General features: G+C 36.9%; 1 long non-coding RNA gene across 1 annotated transcript in view; it reads right to left on the bottom strand.

Annotated features, from left to right (window-relative positions):
* The window catches only part of LOC102724289 (uncharacterized), a 28,975-nt gene extending 6,624 nt beyond the window's left edge, over nt 1–22,351 (bottom strand). The window contains exons 1-2 of the long non-coding RNA XR_924590.3: nt 22,236–22,351; nt 20,853–21,031 (exon numbers count right to left, since the gene is read on the bottom strand). This is a non-coding gene — a long non-coding RNA (uncharacterized LOC102724289). The remainder of the gene's footprint in view (nt 1–20,852; nt 21,032–22,235) is intronic.
* Nucleotides 22,352–27,514: the final 5,163 nt, after the last annotated feature.

Below are 27,514 nucleotides of genomic sequence, written 5' to 3'. Positions count from 1 at the left end.
GAGATTGCCTGTAGAATTGTCATATATATAAAAATTACATTCTGTAATGCTAATTTGAAGGTGTATATATATATATATATATATATATATATATATATATATATATATGTGTGTGTCAGATTAGATTCTGACTGTATATATATTTGAAGGTATATATATATATAATTAGCATTACAGAATGTAATTTTTACATGCACACTTTATGTGTTCAGGTCTTACCAGTAACTCTAATGAGTCTAAACTTAGAAGTTCTAAGGAAAGGACTTTATGCATTATCTACACCAATCTATAAGCAACAGGAAGCAGCGCAAGTCCTTCAGGAGCCTGTTCTCTTTCCCAGACCTCTTTCCCAGACGTTTCTCTGCCTCTGGCAACCTTGTTTAAAGTACTCATTTGCTAAGCACAGACTGTGCAAGGGTAAACTGGAGCTGACCAGCCCTCATGGGCACCGACCTTAAACACCTTGTGCAGTATTGACATAACTCCCACTGGCTTTTGCTTGTCCATCTAAATTTCCCTTGTTTCCCATTAATCTCATTGAGACTCCCCACACTGCACTAAGAATCTCTTTCTTCCACATTTAAAGCCTTTAATTACTCCCCCAGACATCCCTTCCCAGTTTGGCAGTGCAAAAGCAGACTTTAGGGAAAGATTCCTAGAATTAAACAAATAGATTACATCACTGTTTCCTGTTCTTTTCAGAATTAGGGCAAAATTATGTCTTTGTCGTGTTAGTCCATGTGAGGTCGGGCCAAAGAGGAGGTTGGCAATTATTCCTTGGGGGGAATGCTAAGTGGTCCTTCATCAGCAGTCACAGCTGATAATGATAATTTTCAGAAAAACAAAAATGAAATCTCTGTGGCTCCTATGATAAGACCTTCATTTCCTTTCAGATATTGTTCTCCTTTCACCATTACCACATTCATGCTGCTAGTGAAGTGCAGCTCTAATGTGTCCTTGTCAGTTTTCTCCCCAGTCGTTCCCATTTTTAAGGTCGTCGTTCCCATTTTGTTTTTAAGCATCATCTACCTTTTGATGAGTAATCCTCTTTTCCAAATTCCTCCCAAATTTTGCTTTTCTCAAACCACACGCACAAAAAATGAGTTTCTTCAAAAATACATACATAAGTGTAATTTTGGCTTTTTTTTAAACTTCCTCTTAATGATAACGCTATCACACACTCTCCACTTCCTAACGAGGCCAAAATTTGGAGGGGAGTTCACATTTTTGAAGCCTATTCTAAATGAGTGGCACACTATAAATTAAATACAGACAAAGTCAACATAAATTTAGTCAGACAGATGAGGGAGAAAAGCCAAAACTCTGATTTACTTCTCTTCTCTACCATTTTCTCTTAATTCCCTGGTTGTTTCATTTTGCTTGTTTGGTTGACTGTTTGGTTCCCCACCCCTTTCTTTTTTTCTCTCAAGTGTCTCACCTCAACTTGGGCACAAACTGAAGACAAACCACAGCCCTCACCCATGGTGCAGGCCCAAGTCCAGAATGCACAAAATAGTCCTGGTCTCTCTTAATGTGGTAAGGTTGGGGCAGTGGGCTAAGCAAAACAAAGCCAGGGGTGGATACTCAAGGTCCCATTGAGTCAGGGAAATAAGGTACCTGGGAGAGCGCATCATTCAGGAAGAACATATTCTGATGTCTCCAGGGCCAAGAATGTGGCGTAAATGAGCAAAGCCTAACAAAAATGAGTGTGGGTCACTGCAGAGAATATACCCCATGTGGACAGAGCTGACAGTATATATCTGCAGCCAAATATTGCCATTTAGAACTATGGTGTTAGTGCTGTCCGATTTCTAATCATTATTTTGAGAGAACCAAAAACAAGAATTTTTTTGTACGTGTGTAAAGTAACCCAGTTTTGTAGTCAGTTAGTTTTTCTTTAACATCATCATCTTAGAGACCACCAGTTTGAAACCTCTAGTTTTGCATTAAGAAAACAGCATTCCAGATGTCTGCCCATTAGCAATATGCTGATTAGCAGGCAGAGCTCAGATCAATGTATAAATCCTATTTCTCTTGAATATTCCTTAACTGTTATTGGAATGAGTTTCCCAATTTATCAAATTTTGGAAAAGAAGATACAGAAAGCAATAACGCTTTTTAAAAAGAGAGATTAAAAAGGAAAAATAACAGTATTTTCCCTCCTTCACATATTGTTTTGATATCTGCTTCTTGGTTTTTTTCATTCTATGTCTTTTCAGAAAATAAAGAGATACACTCCTAGAGAGATAATTAATCCATTTTGAGGGCCTGCCATGTGCCAATCAACTTCTTTAGGACTTTTGGTATGTTTTGCCTTTTAATCTTATTTAAGAAATTGGAGAGTAAAGTAGATAAACAGTAAATAAAATGAGATCAAAAATGTAATGTGAAACTTTACACAAAAATTTAAAAATAATTAAAGAATAACTAAAAAAATGATGTGTGACTTTAATTTCTTAAATATGTTGTAGGGCAAATATTAGGATGTAGGACAACTCTAAACTTGCATAGGATTATTTTAAAGTTATCTCTGATGATAAAGGTAAGAACTTCCAGCTTTACTTGAGGAACGGAAGGCACTTCTCAAGACATATAAGATTAAGATTTTTTAAATTGCATATTTGAATACAGCTTTACTTAGAAACAGGCTGAGACTGAATGAATAGAGATAACTAAAGGCTAAATTTTCTGTGTTAAAATGAGCACACTAGGAGAAAAGTAGAGTGTCTTGCCAGCCCAGAGCTAGTATATTTGGTACTTGTCATTTACTCCTTTTTGCCTTCATTCATTTGACACATATTTATTATATTCAGCACAGTTCAAAATGCAGAGTGATATAGCAAATATTGAAAAAGCCACAGAAGATCCTTGCCTTCATAGAGTTTATATTCCATCAAGAAGAAACAGACAAGAAAAAAACAAATAAATAAATGGTGTAATTTCCAATAATGCTAAGCACTAAGAAGAAAATAAAGCAGAGTATTAAGAAAGAGAGCAGTAATGGGGGGAGGGAGATGTTTTAGATCATTTACGTCAGAATCAGTAAAATCGAGAAGAGGAGACATGAGAAAAGAGAAATACAGAACTGGAAGTGCAAAGTACTGGAATTAGAATGAGCTTAATTAAGTTCAAGGGACAGAAAGAAGGTCTATGAGGCTGAGGGTATAGCTCACTGCAACCTCTGCCTCCCGGGTTCAAGCGATTCTCCTGCCAGTAACACATTACAGACTCCCAGAAACCTTCAAGGGAAGAGTCTCACTTCAGCTGTTTTGTGCAAAGAAATGAGTTTGACTATATAAATACTGGCCAGAGCTGGAAGAATGCCCAAATCTTACTTGTAAAATACTACTCAGCCCATTAAACAACCAATGTGAACATGGACCTAAAGACATGGTTGGACCCGAACAGAGACAGTCCTCACCAAAGACAGCAATTATCACTGTGGATACCTGTAAGACTGTGCACTGCTGTCATTTATCTGTTCATCTTACTTTCCAGTCTTTGGTTGATTTTTGCCCTTTAATATAACCTCTTTAGTGTTTGTACACATTGTTGGTGGGAGTATGTAGATATATGCATCAAGAATGATAAAATAATTTTACTTCTACGAAATTATCTTAAGGAAGTAATCAGAGGTGCTATAATAAGATAAACAGATAAAGAAAGGATAAATGCCCACCAATAGTACATGGGTTAGGTGCATTACGAACACTCTTACAGTCATTCAATATCATGTTCTGAGAAAATACTTAAAAACAGCAAAAAATCCCACAACGTAATTTTAAGTATAAACATAGGCTACAAAATACTATGTACAATATGAGCCTGGTGTTGAAAGTATGTACATTTATATGTACATATTTTATTTCAATTACATATTTTAATATATTAAAGTGTTATAGTGGTTCTCTCTTGATTGTAAGTTGAACTGTCAATTTTTCTTTCTCCTTGATTATTTTATGAAGCTTTGATAATGCACATAATTTAGTTTTATAAATTTAAAATAACTCTATCAAATGTACTAACACTTCCCTTGAAAGCTTTGCGTCTTCTAGCTTACCCGGCAGGGTTCTGGGAGGCCACCAAGCCCAAGAGAACAGTGAGAGTTCGGAAGTAGAATCCAGACCCTCCAAAGGCTATATGTTACAAAAGGGTCATGAATACAATGTTCCCATGGCTCATGTACCTTAGAAAAAAAGAAGAAAAATCAGCTGCAACCCATTCCTACTTTGTAATTCCAACCATTTCATTTTACCTTTTTTTTTTACTTTCTTAATTTTTAAAACTTTTGTGCATTTGGCAAAGATATGCTTTTCCCACTAGAATGTAAGCTCCACAGAGCAGACAAAAGTCTGTTTTCTCCATGCTGTATCCCAGTGTCTGGCATATACTAAAAACTGGGTAACTATTTGCTGAATAAATATATTAAAGAAAAATGCATTAATATGAATCTAAGTCCTATCAGTGGAGACTTAGAGAAAAACATGGCACAACAGCATAACAGGTGTGGGTGCATTCAGGTCAATGTTCAGTAAAAATGAATGTATAATATTTAGGAGAACTGAATTAAACTTTTTTGTAAGGGTATACTGTCCTACACATGTAGCTAGAAAGTGCCTTTTTGCTCCAACAGTATTTTAGAAGCTACTCGTTTCTCATATGAGTGGCTTTAGACAGAGGTATCTTCTCAGCCACAAGCAGAAAAAGATTAAGGCCTATGGGAAAAAATTGATATTCATAGACTAGTATTGCTGCTGTTATCCACGAAGGCATAGAATGAAAAGGGAGCACCTCATAGAAAAGAAAGAGAAGTAAAATAAATGACACTATGCAAATTGCAAAAATTCTGTAATTATTTCTTCTACGCTATTCAAATTGCAAAATTATAAATTCAGGGAACATGCCACAAAGCCCTGTGGTATTTTATACAACCTAAATAAGTATCAAGGATCTTAAAAATGTTAATATCTTTTGATGTAGTGATTCCACTTCAAGGATATAAACTAAGGAAAAGTAATTAATGCAGACAAGGATTTGTGTACAAAGTTGAACCCTAATTTGAAAAATAAATTTTATTTTATACATAAATCATAGGCAACTAGTGCTAAACTGGGCCTTAGCTGTATTGTTTCTCCAGAGAAAAATAATCAATAAGTTGGAGAAAGGAGGGAGGGAGAGAGAGAGAGAAGAGAGAGAGGAGAGAGAGATTATTTAAGGAATTGGCTAATGCAATTGTGGAGGCTAAATCCATATTCTTCAGGGTAGACCAGCAGGCTGGAGACCCAGAGATGAGTTGATATTGCCACTTGAGACCAAAGACAGACTGCAGGAGCCAAGCATGGTGGCTCACACCTGTAATCCTAGCACTTTAGGAGGCTGAGGCAGGCAAATTGCTTGAGCCCAGGAGTTTGAGACCAGCCTGGGCAACATAGCAAGACCCCATATCCAAAAAAAAAAAAAAAGAAAGAAAGAAAGAATAAAAAGACAGACTACAGGTAGAGTTTGCTCTTCTAGGGAAGTCAGTCTTTATTTTTTTTTTTTTCCAGTAAGGCCTTCAACTGATTGAATGAGTTGAATGAGGCCTACCTGTATTATGGAGGGTTATCTGCTTTACTCAAAGTCAACTGATTTATATAATCTCATCCAAAAGACACCTTCAAAGCAACATCAGGATGTGTTTGGCAAAATATATGGGTCCCCTGGCCTAGCCAAGTTGATAGATAAAATTAATCATCACATCAGCCAATATGCACATTTGGAAAGACACTCAGAGAAGTGAATTTCCCAAGCTGGATGACAAATAAACCATTCACATCTTTCCTTAGTGTTAATATAAACTTTTTCCTGAAGTCTATAAAAGGGCCTTCAGAGTCATAAAGCCAGAAAATATCAGACAATACCTTCTCTTCCTTTATTTTAAGACATAGAAAGCCTTGTTCTGAAAGTAGGTAATTCATATAGATAATCTTATTCACTTTGCATCCCAGAAGCTCTTAGCACAATGCTTTCCGTATTGTAGGCATCCACCACCACCTGGAGCAATTAAAATCAGCCTTGTTCTTCTTTTTTTTTTTTTTCCTTTTGATGTTGTAACCGTAGGAAAGCATGAGCCTTGTTCTTAATGAGCTCAATCAGAAAGAGGTCATGTTGCACAACCTAATTTATCTTCATTCTCCTCTTCTAAAATATAACAGGATTTACAAATTATCTCTAAAATCATGTAAATGACAACTACACTAAGAACATAGGAGTTCAGAGGAGAGAGAAGGCAAGGAAGGCTCTTCATGAAGTAAGTGAGATTTGAAGGAGGAGTAGGATGCATATAGCCAGAGAGGAATGTGGAGTATTACAGTGAAAGTAAATAGTACATAAAATGAAAGAGGTGGATATGTGCTGAACAGGCAGTGGGTTGAGCAGGAAGTTTTTAAGAGAAGCTATGAGAGATGTGACTGGAGAAGTACCCGATAAACTTGAAAACTATATAAACAGTTTGCTTTTTAAAAGGACTGGGGAATTATTGAGAGTTCTGATATGGGGAATAACACGATTAAAGTGGGATTTTATGGACAGGAAAAAAATATTCTTGCCATACTAATGTATCCTCTTTAAACTAATCAATTTAATTTTTTCTTATGTCTCCCATGCCCCTGACTGTTTTTGTAATCACAGACAGAATAACCCAATTTCATGTACAAATTATACAATACTAAGCTGCAAATCTATGCACTACCAAAAACTAATTTAGAAGTAATTTTACCATACAAATTATTTCAATGTAGTTGTCACAACTAATATCTGTTATTGCATTTATAAACGATCACTTGTCAGAGGAAAGATTTAAACAGGAAAATGTGGGCTGCAGAGAACCACATTAAAATGAACTATATAGATCTAGGGTAAAGGGAAGAGCAGATTTCAAAATTAAGAAAAAAGAGACACAAGCTGTACCCAGCTGTCAAATAAAATCTTCCAGGAGGGAAGGATTGGTGGCTTGCAACTTATCTCAAGCAGTAAAGAATTGACTTTTTCAATGTATCAGACTGTGTGGTTGGTATTTGGGAAAGACAGAGTGTTGTTGTGGGAATAATAGGAGTTTCTTTGAAGTCTGAGTCTTGTCTCTGTTACTATCTAGCTTGCTGACTGAGTGAATATTGCCATCGCTAAGCTCTAGTGTCTCCATGTATAAATAGGTGTAACACTATGCCCAGAGTTAATATGCCTAGTGTATTGGACACATTAGCTCACATATAATAGCCCTCCTTAAGGACACCATTTACCCTCTCATCACCTTCTCTATTCTGACCATTGTCATCTTTAGCTGTAAAGTTGTAGCCAACACCATCAACCTCACAGTACCACTGTGAGGAAGGAAAAGAAATAAACCACTCTGAGTAACACCCATGAGGCTCTCATTGTACCAGGCCCCACATCATTGTAACAAAAGTTTGTAGACACAATTATTTCTGTTTTACCTTACTGCTCTGTCCATTGAAAGAAAACAGCCTATATTTTCCTACCTGGTTAGAATCAGATGTATCTACCTGTTTCTTCACAGACGTCTAAAGTGAGCAAAAGAATACGAGGATTAAATGATTTCTGACGGAGTTCTTGTATACAAAAGACCTCAGAAAACTCTTCATCTTAGTAAAGAAATATAGCAATAATAATTTATGTTTATTGAGTGCTTATTATCTGCTGGGCATTCTTCAAAGTGGCTTACATGTATTGATTGATTTAATGTCCACAACATGTTTGTGGGGCCTATACCTTTATTATTGTCATTTTAAGGGTAGGAAAAATTATATAGAATTTATGAAGCCTGCTTGAGGTCACCCTGCTTGTTAGTAACAGAGCTTGGATTAAGAAATACACATTCCTATGTACTTGTTGGTACATGAAACATAAAGCAAATCATATTCATAATTGTGGCTTTCATTCTTTAAGTGAAAATAAATTTGAAAGCAAGTGAAGTATTAGACTCCTGATGTGTTTCAAATGTCTATACTTTCAAAAGAGTAAATTACATATCATGCAGTGAGAAAAACAAACAGCAAATTTAGTGTATCATCTTTAATGGGAAGTGTTTGGTTTTCGTTTTAACTAAATTTTATTTAAAAATTACTTTGGGAGGCCCAAGTGGGCAGATCACGAAGTCAGGAGTTTGAGACAATCCGGGCCAACATGGTGAAACCCTGTCTCTACTAAAAATACAAAAATTACCTGGGCATGGTGGCGTGAGCCTGTAGTCCCAGCTACTCAAGAGGCTGAGGCAGTAGAATCACTTGAACCTGGGAGGCGGAGGTTGCAGTAAGCCAAGATCGCGCCACTGCACTCCAGCCAGGGCGACAGAGTGAGACCCCCATCTCAAAAAAAAAAAAAAAAAAAAAAAACAAACAAACAAAAAAAAACTTTGTAGGGCCAGGCACAAGGACTCATGCCGGTAATCCCAGCACTTTGGGAGGCTAAAGTGCGAGGATCAATTGAGGTCAGGTGTAAGACACTAGCCTGGGCATCATAGGGAGACCCCAACTGTACAAAAACAAATGTTTTAAAAATAAGCTGGGCATGGTGGCTACTCGAAAGGCTGAGGTGGGAGAATTGCTGGAGCCCAGGAGCTCAAGGCTGCAATGAGCTATGATGGTGCTGGATATAGTTTGGATATGTGTCCCCACCCAAATCTCATGTTGAAATATAATCCCCAGTGTTGGAAGTGGAGCCTGGTGGGAGGTGATTGTATCCTGGGGATGGATTTCTCATGAATGGCTTAGTACCATCCCCTTGGTACTGTCTTCGTGATAGTAAGTGACCTCTCACAAGATCTGATCATTTAAAAGTGTGGAACCTCCCCACTTGCTCTCTTGCTCCTGCTCTGGTCATTTGATGTGGCTGTTTCCCCTTCGCCTTCTGCCATGATTGAACGTTTTCTGAGGCCTCCCCAGAAGCTGAGCAGATGCCAGCATCATGCTTCCTGTACAGCCTGCAGAACCGTGAGCCAATTAAACCTCTTTTCTTTATAAATTACCCAGTCTCAGATATTTCTTTACAGCAAAGTTAGAATGGACTAATACAGTGCCATTACACTCAAGTTTGGGAGACAGAGCAAGACCCTATCCCCCAAAAAAGACAGAAAACTTTATGAAGAATTTGTGTACTATAGAGAGAAAGAATTTATAGAATAATTTCCAATTTCCAACACTACTGAGTCTTTTTCCCTCACAATACATCTGTGTTAAAGCTATGAGCATCTTTGGTATTGCGAAAGTTGATAATACATATTGGGTTATTCTTATCACACCCAACTAAAACAGAGTTGAAAAGCCAGCAGGGAAAAGCTCTCAGGGCACATAACATTGCTCCAAAAATGTAATTGTCTGTAAGCCTGGCTGCTGAACCTGCCAACTGTAACCTGATGCCAGTTTTATCTAAAGACTACTGAAACAACCTGCTGCAACTTTAAGACGAGTTTTACCCAGTTCAATCACTCACTAGTCAGAGTTTACCAGCTCCCCCAAACTTCACTATTGCCAATGACGTTTCTTAAAGAGCAATACATAACATTTCTCCTTTTAATAATACCTCTTACCTTCTCTTTGTTCTGTCATACTCAAGACCAGCCAGTCTGCATACATGCCCCAAATTGCAATTCTTTCTTCCCAGAAAAAACATTTTAATTTCAGACATTCATCTCTATATTTTATTTTACTTCAGCAGTATGTAAATAGCAGTTGAATTTATAATTCTTGGATGTACCTTATTACTTTTAAAGAGATTTATTGAGATATTTAAATACTATAAAATTCACTGTTTCAAGTTTGCAATTCAGTGATTTTTTTTAGTGTATTTACAGAGTTGCACAGCTATCACCACAATCTAATTTTGAAATATTTCCATCACCCTGAGAAGAAATATTTTGCTTATTTGTAGTTATTCCCTATTCCTATTCCTACCCCTTCCCCTTCCCCACCACCCACCCTTTCCATCCCAAACTCTTGGCCTTAGGCAGTCACTAATTTACTTTTTGTTCTATAGATTGGCTTGTTCCAGACATTTCATATAAATAAAATTATAAGATGTGTTCTTTTGTTTTGGGCTCCCTCAACTTAGCATAATATTTTTGAGGTTTCTCCATAGTATAGTACGTATGGGTACCTTGTTCTTTTTTATTGCTGTGTAATATTCCATTATATGTGTATAAGGCATGTTTTTTCATGTCTTTTATCCAGTTGATTGACATTTGAATAGTTTCCACATTTTGGTTATTATGAAAAATGTTGCTGTGTAAATTTGTCTTCGAGTGAACATATGTTTTCATTTCTCCTAGGTAGGTAATAAACAGTGGAATTGCTGGGTCATATAGGAAGTCTATGCTTAATTTTTTTTAAGAAACTGCCAGATGGTTTTCCAAAGTGGCTACACCATTTTACATTTCCACAAGCAATGTATGAGAGTTCCAATCTCTCCACATCTTTGCCAATACTTGTTGTTTTCTGTTTTTTTTATTATAGCTACCCTAGTGGTGTAAAGTAGTAACTCATTTTGGTTTTGATTTGCATTTTCCTAATGATTAATGGTGCTGAACAAATTTTCACGTGTTAATGTGTATACACTTTGAAAAATGTCTATTCAATTCTTGTCCATTTTTATTTCATTATTTATCTATAGGTATTCTTTATAAATTCTGAATACAAGTCTCTTATGAGAGATATAATTTTCAAATACTTTTCTCCCAGTCAATGGATTGTATTTCATTTTCTTGACCATGTTTATTGTAGCACAATAGTTTTAAATTTCACTAGGTACAATTTATCAAATTTTTAAATTGCTTATGCTTGTGTGGTATCTAAGATATTATTGCCTAACCCAAGATCATGAAGATTTACTCTTATTTTGCCTGTATTATTTTTTAGGTTTTCATACATACATATACATATATGAAATCTTACATACGTGTGTGTGTGTATATATATGTATGTATGAAACCCTACAAAATATGTATTTCTCATATATATAAACCCTATTATATATATATTTCATACATATATACTACATATGTATGAAACCCTATAAAATAATAAATATGTAAGTAATTTAGGAGCAAAGTTCTCTGGAAATTAGGATGAAGTGAAAGTCAAATTATTAAATGACATTGTATTAGTCTGTTCTCACACTGCTATAAAGAACTACCTGAGACTGGGTAATTTATAAAGAAAAGAGGTTTAATTGGCTCACAGTTTCACAGGCTGTACAGGAAGCATAGCTGGGAAGGCCTCAGGAAGCTTACAATCATGGCAGAAGGCAAAGGGGAAGCAAGCACTTCTTCACATGGCCAGCAGGAGAGAGAGCAAAGGGTGAATTGCTACATACTTTTAAACAACCAGGTCTCATGAGAACTCATTCACTATCACAGGGACAACAAGGGAGAAATTAGCTCCCATGATCCAACACTTCCCACCAGATCCCTCCTTCAACACTTGGGATCACAATTCAACATGAGATTTGTGTGGGGACACAGAGCCAAGCTGTATGAGACACAAAAGAAAGAATGCAGACACAACCACTCAATATCATGCACAGTGAAAAACTATGTGATCTATTTTTCTATGTTAAGGTGTATAGGAGGCAAAACACCCCCTTTACCATTACTTGTAGACAGCATGATCAGAGCACAGTAAGACTGAATCAAGAGTACTGATGAAAGAAAAGCTAATCAACAAGGACTATGCCATCAAAAAAGCAAGGACATATCCAGTTCTTACTCAGACTATAGCTGAACAGTCAAACTGGAACATACATAGACTAGCCAGCAAGAGGAGGTGATATGTTGACCAGGTAAAAGACACCATGCTATACAACGGATGACAATGGAAACAGTAAATTAGAAAGGTATTTAGAGACACTGGAGTTTAAGGAAATTGATCTTAATCTATTTAAACATTATGAATACTAAGGAATTAATTCATAATTCTCACCTTAATATGAAGTGGAATAGGGTTGCATTCCTTGACCAACAGTAATAAATGTGTTTTAATGATCCACAGAGCATTCGAATAAGATGTCTCATTTGGAATATATTATCAATTTCCTTTATAAGGCTTTATAATTAAATCTACTATCATTAAAAAGTTGCGCTATTATTTGCTTGAATGTTACTAATAACCTACTTGTTGCCAAATCTGTATGTCTTTTATTCTTTGAAAAGTAAGAAAAGGTTATTCCTGAGTAGGAAAAGGTAACTTAAGGAATATGAGACAAATGTCTGTCAACTGAGAAAGCTGTTGAATTTTGAGGCATAACAATGAAAGCTCTATTTATAGATATTAAGCTCTAGAATTTCACATTTTGAAGGAACATTAACAACTTTTTTACAGCTGACGGGCTTGGAGAGATTATTTAAAGGTTAGAACCCAATCTGGTTAATTACCTATGACATGACTTCATATATTCAAGACTTTATGACTCCGTGTTAGTCAAGGGTTATAATATATATGTTTCATCCCTTTAATAATATCAGAAGACTTTCAGGAAAAGCACTTTTTTTCTTTTTCTGAGTCCTCAGCATCCAAAAGAGTGTTTGGCTCAAAAAGCATTTGTTGAGTAGCATATCTTAAGAGGTATTCACTTGAATTGTTATTCATTTTAGCTATTTATAAAAGCTTAATCCGTTGTTTCTTTGGAACTGAAACTTGTATATCACAAATTTTCACTGTTGTTTGCTTTTACATTTATCAGCTTTTGTTATCTCTTATCTCACCATCTGATACCTATTTGTTGATGCTATCTGTTGATATCTTTTTACATTTTAGAGATAAGAAAGAATTCTAAAACTAAATAATTTAAAATAGTTTTAAAAAATATATAGGTTGCACAGGAAGAAAAGTGATTATCTTTGGAAGAATCTCCAAACAAATTATCTAGTCAAAGGAAAACAAAAAATAGTAATTAAAAAATTTAATTCAATTCAACTAGCACTGATTGAACATTTCTTATGTTTCATGCATTGAAGATGTAACAGCAATAAGACATAGGTCTTACTTCAAGGAACTCATATATCAGTAGAAGATATGTACTGTATAATAATGTGATCAGTCAATGGTATTTTAAAGCAGTAATAATACTTCATACATATAAATATGAAGTATTTTATAAGTATTAACACACTTAATGCTAACAACAATTTTGTAAATGAGAAAATTGAGGCATAAAGAGAGGTTAAATAATCTGCTCCATTTATGTAACTAGTTTTTGGCAGAGCTAGTATTTGAACCAGGCAGTCTGTAGATTCAGAGCCTGCATTCTCATGCCACACCGTACTGCCTCAGAACTCACCGCAACTTCTCAGTTTTTGTTTTTTTTTTAATTTTGTTCATGAGATGATTTATTTCTTTTTACACATATATCACCAAAATTAGAAAGTAAGATTTGCAGGTTATTTTACATCAGGACAGTAAATCCATTTTTGACTTCTGAGAGATTTTTCATGCAGAAGTTTGAAGATTGTAAATGCCTTTACAAATATATAACATTATTAAAACATTTTTATTTTATGAATATGAAATATTTTAGAAGTAACGAGACAGCCAAATATAAAGGAGTCACTGGAGAACCCCCAACTGGCCTGTGTGCTGGGAGGAATGCACACTGGGGTGGAGCCTCAGGAAGTTCACTCTGTTTGCCCTGGGGAGGAGCCTGGCCCCTCTTCTTCCTGGGTGGAACCTGGAATTCAATCTGTGACGCGGGAAGCATATACTAGCAGGACTCTCACTCTGCTGAGGGTCCCTCTTTCCCCTTTTTTCCTTTTTTCCAATAAATTCCATTTTTCTCACCCTTCAAAGTGTCTGCAGGCCTAATACTACATAGCTGTATGGCAAGGACCCCATCTTTAGCTGAACTAGGGAGAAAGTCCTACCACAGTACAAACATCTGATATAACATACACGTGCATTTCTGAAAAGCTTGCATTAAGCTACATTGCACACTTCAAGTTACAAAGTTAATGGGGGAAAAAATAGAATTAGCATAGACCACTCAAAACTTAATGCACTTGATGACCAGAGCATTAACAACAATAACAAATCCTACTCAATAACAATTTATCACAGTTTTTAAAAAATGTTAAAATCATAATAAAGAAAGCAATACTACAGTAACTAATATGACTTTATTCCAAATACAAATGAAAGTAGGCTATCAGAATGAGGTAAAAGAAAGACTGCTGAATTACAGAAAAAAGCACAACACCATCAGAAGTTACAGGTGTAGCATTTTATGTAATAAGTAGATGCAAGTTTCACACATACCACAGCAAAGATATGGCTGGTGATTTTGGATCATTATCTTGTCATTGTTTCTTTTGCACATGATCAACCTCCTGGGAAGATAGGATGAATGGACATGGTGTACAGTACTGTATTCTTCTAAGGTTTGCTGTATGCAGCTTTGTTAGCATATTTTGCACTCTGCTGCAGTGTAAATGCTGGCAGTGCAAAATGCAGGGGGAAAATCCCTTAGGAGCCTTCTCATCACCCAAGTTATGTTCACATCATTCCCTCTTTAACAATCTTATTTCCATTTACATTACAGAACATGCTCTGTAGCAAAATAAACTATATTTGGAATGGATTACAGTGAAGGAGAACATCAACAATTTTATCACTAGATTATTTCTTATTTCAGGTTCCTTTCTCCTTTTCTGTCAAACACACTTAAAAGCTAAACATGCAAAATGCTTTTCTAGGTTAAGTTCAATTATAGTTAGTAGTATAGGTGTCACTGCATAGAAACTACTGCTTTCCAGACAGAGGCAGAAGGATCGCTTGAGCCCAGGCCTTCGAGACCAGTCTGGGCAACATGGCAAGACTGTGTCTTTACAAAAAAAAATTTTTTTAATTAGCCAGGCATGAGGTGGGAGGATTGCTTGAACCAGGGAAGTTGAGGCTGCAGTGAGCCCTGATCATACCACTACACTCCAGCCTGGGTGACAGAGCAAGGCCATGTCTCAAAAAACTAAAATAAAATAAAAATAAAGAAACTATTGCTCGCATTTCCAAGCAACAAGTATCCAAGAGGTCATTCACACATGTTCCTTTGCAATTTCAGCATGAGTGCAAATATTTTTCTTCTTTCATCTCTATCAACATTAATACAAAATTTAAAATAAAATGGGATAACTATTATAGCCCTCATTCGCAACAGCCATAATTTAGGACTGAGGGATTAACTAAAGTTCGGTATCACTTAAAAGAGCAAAACAAAAATAGAAAACAGCAGTTTTCCTAGTCATAATAAAAAAAGTTTTTGTCCAATTTACAAAAAGTTCCTGCTAATTAAAACCTACTAACACAGTCACAGTTCATATACTATCAAAGTTGTTATTTGAGTAGTCAATTAACTATCCCCAAAGCACCACAACCAGATAAAACAATTTATTTTCTTGTAGTGTTGTCCTAATTTGGTCTTAACGAGGAGTTGAGCTTGTCTTGTATGTTTGTTCCTTGAGTTGCTGAAGGCTTGATTTACTTGTCCCAGTAAAAGTCTCTGCTTGTTCCCCTCCTTCTCTGAACAAAGACTGATTTTCATATGAAAAGAGTTAGTGAATGTTTTCCCTTAGGCACTGGGGCTAGCTTTTCCCAGAGAAGTAGGCTGTTGCATTGCTTTTGTCATCTTTGATCACAGAAAAGTTTTCAAAGGGCAGCATAAACAATGATAGTCAAGTTGGTCTCTGCTTTCATGAAGAAGGTGATGGAAGTGAATTTTAAACAATTTTAGCAACAAATGTTTGCTGGCACATGAATCTGGATTTACAGTAATTAGAGATATCTGAATTTTCACAAAATAGTCTAGGCATACTTTTTCTTTGGTCTACCAAGACTTGACACTCATTGTTGCTTTGGTTTTCCCTGGTACAGCTGATAACATCAAACACTTAAAATTAGCACTGCAGAATGCAGCTCCAAGCAGCAGCTTCCGGTCGAGTGATTTTATCAATGGTTACAAGAGTAACAGAACTCCAGAGCCGGGATTCTGTCTTGGCTTGTAAAATATCTTTCAGTTCTACCTTTAATATGTTTTTAAGTAGAAAGTAACTTAGTATCATTATGTTACTAAATCCCAGAATCTTTTTTGGAAGGGAGCAAAGGATTTTGAAACACTGAAGATACGGTGACAAAATGGAGACGTGCAAAATTATATTCTTCTATTGACATTCACTGTAACTCTTCAGTGGTACATATATATTAATAACAAATTTCAGGCATTCTAAACAACTGTTGAGGATCTGTTTGTGAACATTTTCCATGTGAGAGAATTCTTTACTCCCCCTAATAAAGCCCTATCTCATGATTTATGCATCAGTTCTCACAGCCTGGCTGCACAAAAGTTTAATTCCAGAGTGCAGGGAAGCTGAAATGAGGAAGTTGAAGAGACTGAGAGCTTTCTTGGGAGTGCCTAGCTACTTCTTCCCTGAAGATCCGTACCCGGAAGCCTGGAGAAACATAGCTGATCCAGGAGAAAATGTGAACCTGCATCCTACGGCTCTAAATTCATTTCCAGACCCCCGCCCTCCAAACTCTGTTCCCAGCAAGTGACCTGACATTTTGCATCAGGCCGAAGAGCAGACAGTTGCTAGGGGGCTGGCTATGGGGCAGCCATAAAGAAAATAAGCTAAAAAATAAATAAATAAACTTTGAGAATTCTTCTTTAAAATATAGCATTCTAGAACACTTTAGGTTTTCTCAAAAAAATGATTTACAAGTTAATGTTCAAATACATTAATCCAGAACTTTCAATTACAAGACGAGTAAGTCCTGGGGATCTAACATACAGCATGGTGAATATAGTTACTAATACCGTATTGTTTACTTGAAATTTGCTGAGAATAGAACTTGTGTCCTCATTCCTTCCTTGCCATGCATACAAAATGTTAACTATGTGAGGTGATGAATGTGTTAATTAATCTGATAATTAACAGCAATTAGTTAATTGTAATTAATTGTAATTAGATACATTTCACAATGTATATGTATATCAAACCATCACATTGTATACCTTGAATTTATACGGTTTGTGTTAACTTACCTCAATAAAGCCAGAAAAAAAGTTAAAATTTTCCCCCAAATTAATTCAAGAATGAAGATATTTGATTATATAACACTTGCATGAAATAGGAGTACCAGAAAGCATGATAATGGGAAAAGGCAGCAAATGTGAAAACCACCTTTTCCTGATGTAGTTCTGACTTTGCTCAGGGCTCATCCCAGATGGTTACCTTGTGCATATGCTATATTCTAATTAAAACCCAAAGGAACATATTCAGAAAAAGAATGACTCATCTTAAAATTTTTCATTTAAATTTTATTCATTGAAATGTTTTCATTTAAATTTCATTTTAAAATTTTACTGAATTAAGATAGAATTTGAAATCCCTAAAATAATTAACTATTACTAAGTATGTAGAAGGCCCTTAAATTCCATCTAACTTCTTTTGGTTCTGATATGATTCCCTGCATTTGTTTCGTTTGCATTCCTTTCCCTTTGGATTTGAATGGGAAATTGATTATTAAAATTATATTGCTATATATTAAAATATTGAAATGAAAATTAAGATTTGAAAATAATATTTAAAAGAAGTTAACCTTTTTGCATTAGGCCAGTTTACGTTAGGCAAAATGCTAAGAAAATTAATCTGTACAATACCAAAGGCATTATTATATTCCAAATCCCAAAAGTCTTTCTTGCTTCTTGTAGCAAGGTGCATTAGCTGACTAACAGTATTTCCAGGTAGAAAAATGGAAAGGAAAATGCTGAGCCTGTTATAGAGAAGAGCTTAATAGACTCGTGTGCATACATTAGCCTTCTGACTCTGGATTGATTTGCAGAGTGCCACTGCCAACTCCATCTCAGGGAGTCCATCATTAACACTTCCACTGACCCCTCCAGCCCTGCCACCCTGCCCCAAATTATTTTGCAAGTTTTCCAAATTGATACTTTAACTTAATATTTCCTTAAAGATGAGAAAGTTTAAGCAGATTCAAGACTAGTAGAATTGATGTCTCATTTTCTTGGGCAATTTCAGCAAATATTAAGTCTGGGATTTTCTCTAGATTTGTATTTATAGTGTCTATATTGCTATTAACATAGAGAATCAACTAATACTGAGTTCATAAAGAGGTGAGAGGAAAACAAGAAAAAGAAACCCTTCTGCTGTCCTTAAGTAATGACAAATTCCTTTTAAATTTCTTAAGATTTTCATCAGTTTTTAAACAAACAAGTAACACAAGGCGAAAATCTATCAAACACACAAAAATATAGAAACTGGTGATAAATGAGTTTTATTTAGCTATCAAAATTGCTCCTCCTCCTTTTGCTTTCTGCCATCTTTCAACATGAGAACCAGAGATCTGACTGGAAATAGGTTGTTTTCCTGTGCGTGAATAGAAAGTGACTAGTTTTGGGGGCCGGGGACGATGGTTCACGCCTGTAATCCCAGCACTTTGGGAGGCCAAGGCAGGCGGATCACTTGAGCGCAGGCATTCCAGATCAGCCTAGACAACATGGTGAAACCCTGTCTGTACTAAAAATACAAAAATTAGCCAGGAATGGTGGAGCATGCCTGTAATCTCAGCTACTCAGGTGGCTGAGGCAAGAGAATCGCTTGAACCCAGGAGGTGGAGGCTGTGGTGAGCCGGGATCACGCCACTGCACTCCAGCCTGGGAGACAGAATGAGACTCTGTCTCAAAAAAAAAAAAAAAAAAGAAAAGAAAAGAAAAAGAAAAAGAAAAAAAGGTGACTAGCTTTTCTTTATTCCCAATCAAGTCCATAAATAAAATAGATTAAGATCTTGAAATTTGAACATTGAGATTTGTGTGGTGGTTTCTCATTTCCCTTTTATATTTTCAAGAAGACTCTAAAGATATCACTTATAAGAATTACTTAAATGGGCTTTCTGCTATCATGTTTCTTGGGTTTGGGTAGATGACTTGGATGGCTTCTAAGCAAAGCACGGACAGACAAAAACAATATTACCTACCCCCAAAGGAAAAAGAAATAATAAGATACATCTACAGACCATTACTGATTTATAAGCTCATCATATTCTAATGCTATTTCGGATTTAGCTGGAAGAGGAGTCTGTTTAAAATGGTTTATATTAGGATAAAAAGTAGTGTTTAATAATGTATTCATTTTAATATTTCCAGGGTTGAGACACAGAGGGAGTTTTCCAATTTAATCAGCAATGTCCTATGTGTGCTCACCTTGCCTTTAGATGAAATCTGACCGAGGATGTTTCATCACCACCGTTTTTTGTCCTAGAGAAGCCTCATTACTTTGTACTCTGCTTGTTTCACCAGCTCACAACCCCAACCAAGCTCGACTGCTTTTATATTCAGATAGACAGCCCTCTTTCTCCTTTATCACTTTAGCCAGTTCTGTTAGCATTCCTGTTTCCCTCATATTCTTTGTCCTTTCCTAAACCTATCTATTTTACCTACCTAGCCCTAATCTTTTTTTTATTTTTAAAAATTTATCTATTTTTTGTAGAGACAGGTTCTTGCTATGTTGCCAAGGCTGGTCTCGAACTCCTGGACTCTACAGATCCTCCTGCCTTGGGCTCCCAAAGTGCTGTGATTACCAACGTGAGCTATCACACTTGGCCCCAGCCCTAATCCTAAACCACTCCATTATTTTAGGTTCTTGAATTCTGGTGGGGAAACCACACCACCCTTCAGATAGGTGCTGCTCCAAATTTACACTCACAGTTGGCCTGCAGACTATCTGGCCAACCATGTTTATGCTCAGAGAATGCAGTTTTTGTCATCCCTCACAATGGCAAGTCAAAACCATCCACGTGCAAACTGTCCAGTTGTCCTTCACCTTCCTTGCTGCTCCTTCACCCTAATCCCTTTCCCTAGCAGCACCCTTCTCTCTTACTTCACAGAGACATTCAAACCTGCCACCAGGTTTTTACCATCTGATTTCCAAGACTCATGCATCTGTCTCTCCTTTAGATGGTCTTGCCTACTTCTCTGGGGTCTGTTAAGAAATATTTACCAGCGTCTCATCCCTCTCCTGTGTTTTCAGTTTCTTTCTCCTGTCTCCACATTCTCCCTGCCTATAACAGACTATTATCTCATTTCTGTCTGCACTCTGCTAAAGTTTTCTGGCAAAGTTGGCCTATAACTATCTAATATCGCAATGCAAAATACTGTTTTCATCTATATTAGCTGATTACCTGATTACACAGGTAATCATCCCATTCTTATTGAAATTCTCTCCTCTCTTCCCTCTGGGCACACACACTTTTATGGTTTTCCTCTTGTATTTCAGACCTTTCCATTCTAATCTTTCCCCCCAAAAGCTTGTGTGATTTCTTTCCTGGAGCGAGGGGGAGGGCTGAAGTGGTAGAGCCAAGATTCTGAACCAGATAGTAGAACTCAGAACGGAACTACACAGGTTCCATAATGCATAACAGCTTCAGAATTAAGATTTTTAAAAAAAGAAAGAAAAAAGAAAAGGAAGTTGAAATCCCAGCTTCACCAGTTACTGGATGGATACTCTAGGGCAAGTTAGTTTCGTTGAGCACTGCTTTTCTCATCTACAGCATGTAGCTAATAATACTGTTCAGATAAAGTTGTTGTAAGGAACAGCTCTGGTAATAAATGCAAAGAATCTGTAAACTGTAGCTTTCCAATAAATGACATTATTGAGTTTATGTTTCCTCAAATATTTATCTTTGTTTTCACTGTCAAGCGTGAGACAAAACAGGGAGGTAGGGAGTCATTTAGGGCAGTGTTATATTAGGGAAGGAGAGAGAAGCATTCTTGCCATAATACACTTGAACCAATTTAACAATTACCTGAGTTTAAGAGACTTCCATTCTTTTGAGAGGTATGTTGATCTGAATTCCTTGCCAGCACTGTTAGCCAACCATTCTTCACAGCTTCCTTCTTCTTATCCTAGATTCCTCATGGACCAGTGACTCCAGATTCGCAGTTCCCAAAGCACATTCTCATATTATCTCATTACTTTTACAACCTTTGTTCAACACCAAAGACAGAAACATTTAATAGGAGTTGACTAAGCAAATCAGAACATTTCTAATTTTGTGGCGAATTTTTTTACTTATAGGTTTATAATTGAAAGAAAAAACAAAGCTTCTATAAATTGTTTAAAGCTCTTGATGAAGGATTTTTTATTGTAAAACTATTACCACACAAATAGAAAGCAAACTTTGTCAAATATTTTATTTAATTCATTAATTAATGAGAGTACCACTAAGATGTTATAATCACGTCAAAGGAGAATTCTTAGAGCACACATATACAACAGACATCCCCAGAAATTTGGAAGTGAATATACATGTAGTTGTGATACTGTCAATATCCACCTGACAATAACTAATTAAGTTCTACCACACACAATTCATTTGCATTGCCATGGATACCTATTATTAGTTTTCTTTTCCTTTTTTAGACAGAGTCTCACTCTGTCACCCAGGCTGGAGTGCAGGGGTGCTATCTCGGTTCACTGCAACCTCTGCCTCCTGCGTTCAAGCGCTTCTCCTGCCCCAGCCTCCCAAGTAGCTGGGATTACAGAAGTGTGCCACCACACCCACTTAATTTTTTTGTATTTTTAGTAGAGATGGGGTTTCACCATGTTGGCCAGGCTGATCTTGAACTTTTGACCTCAGGTGATCCGCCCACCTTGGCCTCCCAAAGTGCTAGGATTACAGGCATGAGCCACTGCACCCAGCCCCTATTATTAGTTTTTTTACAACACATAGAGTTGTGAAATAGTTCAAAGACAAGGAAAAGAGATAACTCTAACAGAACATTCAGTAATGATTTTGTCCATTGAAATGTTTTTCACATTTTTTCCTAACAGTTTAACTCTTAAAGCTAGGAAAGATACCAACTGTACATTTTTCTATGTCTTGATACTGTACTCAGATTATTTCTACTTAGCCAATAATGAGACAGATTTAGAATGTATTAAGGGTTTCTAAAATAATATATAGGAATCAGCTCCTGAATGGATTACAGAACCCCTGATTTCCACTTCTAGAGTCAATACTTTGAACACTGTGTGTCCTGATTTCCTTACATGTAAAATGACATTTACATTTTCTCTATTCTAATATTTCTATTTTAGAGTAGATGGCAGAAATTACAGAAGCAGGAAAAATAAGATTCATCATTTGGGGATGCAACAGGTTAGTACAGCAACTGTTTCAACTTACATTTTCTCCTAATTCTTTTTCTTTCCCCCACCCTTCTGGGCTGCATGATAAAGCTTGATCGGGTTCTCACTGGGAAGGGAAGCAGTGGTGCTGGTGCAGTGTACGAGGAACATGATAGAGAATCATCATGGCATTCCCAGAACAAGTTCACAATGGAATCATTGTCAGAGTTCCCTTTGCTTTGACCCTGATGCTGAGCATGAACTCCGGGCAAATGCCCCATAGTTCACCCAGCTGGAGCCCTGTGAGAACAAGGAAGGTGATGTCAGCTTTGGCACTCTGTTTAAGTACAGTGAAGCCTGCGCCTAGTGAATTTCATGAAGATGGATCACCATCCTCAGCTCTGTGTTTACAAAGACATCAGGAATAAACACACATACCCTAAGTGAAAGAAAACCACAGCTACTCTTATCACCCTGAAAAATGAATCGATTTTTTAAAAAATGCATGAGTTATTTAGAAAATATCATAAATATATCATGAGACCCCTCGTTGCTAGTTAGTCAATATCATCAGAGCATTGGGAAAGCTGTTTTGCTTTTATTTTCCATGAGCCACAGCTCCTTGTCACTTACAGTTACTGCTCTGAACATCAGTTATTATGTCAGCCTTTACAATATTTTATCACTTTCACTTTAATGTTACATAGAAAAGAACAAATATTTTAGATCTAGAAGTAATTTGGGTCAGGCTTTCTTAAAATTCCTATAAAGTTCCTGGCACTTCTGAAGAGACTCCATTCTTTCTCCAAGAACAAAATTTTATTTGATTTCACCACCCCTAAATAACAATAGCAGTGATAAAACAATTGTTTTCATTCCCTTTACAAATAACTTTTTATTCTAATCTCCTCCTTCAAAGAAATAACTAATTACTGTTGCTTTTACAATCATACCAATTAGGCATGGATTTAAAAAATAAAGTTAATATGTCTAACTGTATCATTGGAAAAGACTCTAAGGTAAAGAGGAAGAAAACAGAAGACTTACAGAGGTTGAGACCTGGGGGAGCTTAAGCTGGTTCAAACATCTGTAAACTAAACCTCCTTCTTTCCATGAAAAAAAAAAAAAAAAAGCAACTATCATTTGTCCAAGAGTATTGCCATTAGTGTGTGTGCATGTGTGTGTGTGTGTGTATGTGTGTTTACTGTTCGTTTCTTTAAAAGATAAATGTTTAAGTATGTAATTGAGGAGAAAGACAAATGCTTGTAAATATATTGTTTCCCTAAGCACACACACACAGGAAAAAAAAAAAGACTCAGTGAGAAAGGAACTTGCATATTTTCATTGAATTTTGACAGATAAAAAAATGAGAAAGAGATATAGCTGTTGATGGTAAACAAAGGTAGAAGCATTTAGCTTTTAATCACCATAGAACTAAGTCAAAACCTGCCCTCTGTTTCAGTTCCAGAATCACAAAGGCAATTTTGAGATTTTTCTCACTAATTCTTGTCATTCACAACAGATAACATGTGACGAATGTTCATTACATGCCAGGTTGAGCTAAGTCTTTCACATGCATTAACTATTTCTAACCCTTATAACAATTTTATAAGGCAAGTATTATTATTATCAATCTATCAACTATTATTATCCAACCCTTCATGTGAATAAGGAAATTAAGGATCTGAGAGGTTGAAATTGCCTAAAGTCACAGAGCCATAGAGATCCATGACTCTGTTATCTTTCCTATGTTTTGTTTACAATGGATTCTGAGACACAAGTAACCTCAACCTGCAAATGCTTCTCAGGCTCTGCAGCAATGTTTTCCAAATCCTTTGCACTTCTTAACATTCTAACATACACAGTACCTTAATTTGTTTGTATTGCTTAGAGGTTTTTTTTTCTCACTCTCTTTAGCTTAAAAATTCAATAAATTTTGCCTGCAAAGGCCCTTTCTCAGGTCCTTGTGCTTTTTCTATTCCTCCAACTACATTAAATTTTTATACAAATTTAAAAATGTATTTTTAAATCCGGGGTCTGCCCTGGAGTGCCCTACATGCCCCTGGCCCTCCCCAATTCCTTGCCCCTGGCACATGTCTTTTGCCCTTTACTTACCTTACTTAACTGTTTGTCCTTTGCTTACAGGAAGTTGTTTTGTCACCCTTTTGGTGCGATTTGGTGAGATTCAGCAGGAACCCAATCATACGACAAAGTAATAAGTAATGGACTCCAGAGATTGTGTTAAGTAAAGATATTGATTTGCCAGAATATTTTACACTTGTTACTGACATAATATTTTAATTGTTTACAATTTTAGATATTAGGAAAGAAAACAATTATTGTCCCAAACTGAAAAATAATGAAATTTGTGTCTCAAAAAAGCCAAACCCTCTTCACTTTCTCTCCTGTGCCTTTTATGTCTTGGGTAGGGAATGAAGGCAATAGAGTTTTCCCTCCCATAAGCTCCTCAAATATTAGTTTTGTTTTCAAGATATGTGGAACTTCTATTAAACTGCAAGAAAGGAGGACCGATGCTTTACCATTAACATATTAATTATCCTGACTTCTTTCTCTGATTAGGTAACAACAACCTTCAGGGCAAAAATAGCCCTTAGCTTCTAGCATAAGGGAGAGGGAAGCTTCCACTACTCTACGGTTGTTAGATTACACACGTTTCTTAATATCAGAGGTTATGGTCTCTGTTAAAGCAACACACACACATATCCATCCATAATTTTTACTTCTTATTCTTCTGTATTTCACTATCTGAAGTCTTCTGCTATTTAACACACAATTTTTGAGGATTCATTATTTTGTTCTCTTTGAAAGCTGAGATTACGTCTTAATTAAAAAGATAGTCTACACTTAAGGAGCATACAGTTTAATGGAGGAAGGTTACACTGACTAGGAACTTCTAAATACAATGCAGTGTGCATAATATTATTTTAGGGAATTGAGTAATCTAGGAGCTGCTAGAATTCAGTTGACCTAGTGCAGGGTGAGAAGAAATCATCCTGTTTCTCCCACTCTAGGCCCCTTCCTGGACCACAGTAGGTACGACTAATTTCCTCTCTGGGCCTGCTAAATAATTTGTGGGGCCCAGTATAAAATGAAAATGTGCCTTTAAAGGTATTAAAACATAAAACAATTTCCTTTCTTCTGTGGTCCCTGTCTCCTGACCTATCACAGTATTTTATACTTACTATTTGATGTCATATTCCCCCAGCACAGTGATGCAAGAGCCAACCTTCACAGGTCCCCCCCAGTGGTCCACCCCATGACTTGGAGCATACACATTGACTTAGCCCTCCAGTTGCTGGGTTCTCTTCCCACCAGCCGCTGCACCTATGCCATTTGGAATAAGTAATGCATGGTGCTTTCACCAGCAACAGGAAAGCCGAGCCGGGCATCATCTTCCCTTCCTACAGGGCCTCCTCCCAAGCTATAGTAACCTCCATGAAGGTAGCAAATGCGATGTAGCAATGATGGGACTTACTTGGTACCTGGATTGGAGCTAAGTGAGAGGCCCACATGGGCTGAATTGCCTGCTGAATATGTCATTGTGCTGCTAACTAGGAGCAGTGACAGCCCCTGCCTTGTCTGGCCCCAAAGATGTCCTGGAGCGTTTGTGCCTGCCTCTGCTAATCCCCACTTCCTTGCCCATGGCACCGGGATGAAGGTGGAAAAAATGGCAGTGTTAGCTGAGGTGGAAAATGTGTGCTGTCCAAGAGAAGTGGCAGGAGGAGGATGCCTGAAAGCTGAGGTTCCAAGCCCCTGCACAGGCTTTATTGTTGAAAGTTAAAATTATCATTTAGAATACCAAGACAGCAACCTCAGAGCATTAAATCCCTTCTAGTAGACCCTTCTGAGCACATTGAGCTGGGCCCTATGTGATTCCACTGGCTTTATGCCCACATGGCCAGTCCTGCTCCTTCCTACCAATCTCCCACTCTATCATCTTTTACTGTTGTTAATTACTACTTTAGGAAAAAAATTTACTCTGCAGTTTTCTTAATTTTTATTTACCAGCTATTACTCTAGGATAAAGTAAAAGTGTCTTAACCTAGCAAAACTTAGGCTTCAAAATTTTGCATCACCTTCAGCTGCAGCCTTATCTCTTCCCACTTCTTTCCACTGTGCCTATCTCCTAGAGCTCTTGGGCTTTTTGCTATAGCTAATGAACTCCCCCAAATATGCTCGTGCTTCCACGTTTTTGCATTACTGTCTTCCTTTCTGGAAAAGTTCTCTAAACTTCTTTTCCACTAGTTCCATCTCAAGGCTTATATTGAAGGTTATGTCTTCCTAATTTCCCCAGTCAATCTCACTCCTCTCACCCAGCATCACACCTTGCTCCTTATGCTCCTCTGCATGTTTCTTTTTGCCTTGGCACAGTTCCTAGATGTACTTCCGGTGATCAAAGCCCAGGAAACTCGAGATAATGCCAATTCAAATATTTGATCCCGAATTAAAGTCCACCCCAACTTTGCTGATACTCCTTTCACAGAGCAAGTAGGATGGAGGGTCACCAGAGAAAGTGAAGGACAATGTAACAGTTTGCTAGTGGGTGGTTTTGACTTGCCAAAGTGAGGGATGGCAGAGACTACTTACGGTGAGCATATACATGGTTGGCCAGAGTGGACTGCAGGCCAGCCCTGGTGGATAGGGTTGGTATGGTTTCCACACCAGAACTGAAGGACTTAAGATATTAGATTGGTTTAAGATTAAGGCTAGGTAAGCGAAAGAGGTGAGGTGTAGAAAAGGACAAAGGACACAAGGAACATGGCAAAGTTAGCAGAAGTGACTAAAGTGATCAAGGAGGAGGGGGGTTGTCTATCTGAATGTAAATCAGGTAAGTCATGTTGGAGTCATGAGCTGGTGAAACAAGCAGAAAATAAAGTAATAAGGCTTCTGTAGGTCAAAAAGTGGGAATGAAAAGAAAGGTGTTAGAAAGTTTGAAGAAATTTAACTCATTTTGCATTCTACTGATAGTATAAAATAATACATGGTACAGTAGATCCCTTTATGTGCAGTTTCAGTTACCTACAGTCAACCATGGTCTGAAAATACTAAGTGGAGAGTTCCAGAAATAAACAATTTGTAGGTTTTAAGTTTCACCCCGTTCTGAGTAGTGTGATAAAATCTCTTGCTGGCTCATTGCATCCCACCCAGGACATGCCTCATCCCTTTGTCTAGCGTATCCAGGCTGCATACCCTACCTGCTCAGTAGTCATCATCGTCACCTGCTCCTGACATCCTGCCATTGACATTGTCATGGCTAGATGTTCCAAGGTCTCCTGAAACAGATGATCCTCTTTTTGGTGTATCATCAGAAAGTAA

This window comes from Homo sapiens, chromosome 3, assembly GCF_000001405.40.
Source record: "Homo sapiens chromosome 3, GRCh38.p14 Primary Assembly".
NCBI classification, from domain to species: Eukaryota; Metazoa; Chordata; class Mammalia; order Primates; family Hominidae; genus Homo; species Homo sapiens.
Note: the sequence above shows the minus strand (reverse complement) of the source record. Positions and strands in the feature narration are given on the sequence as shown.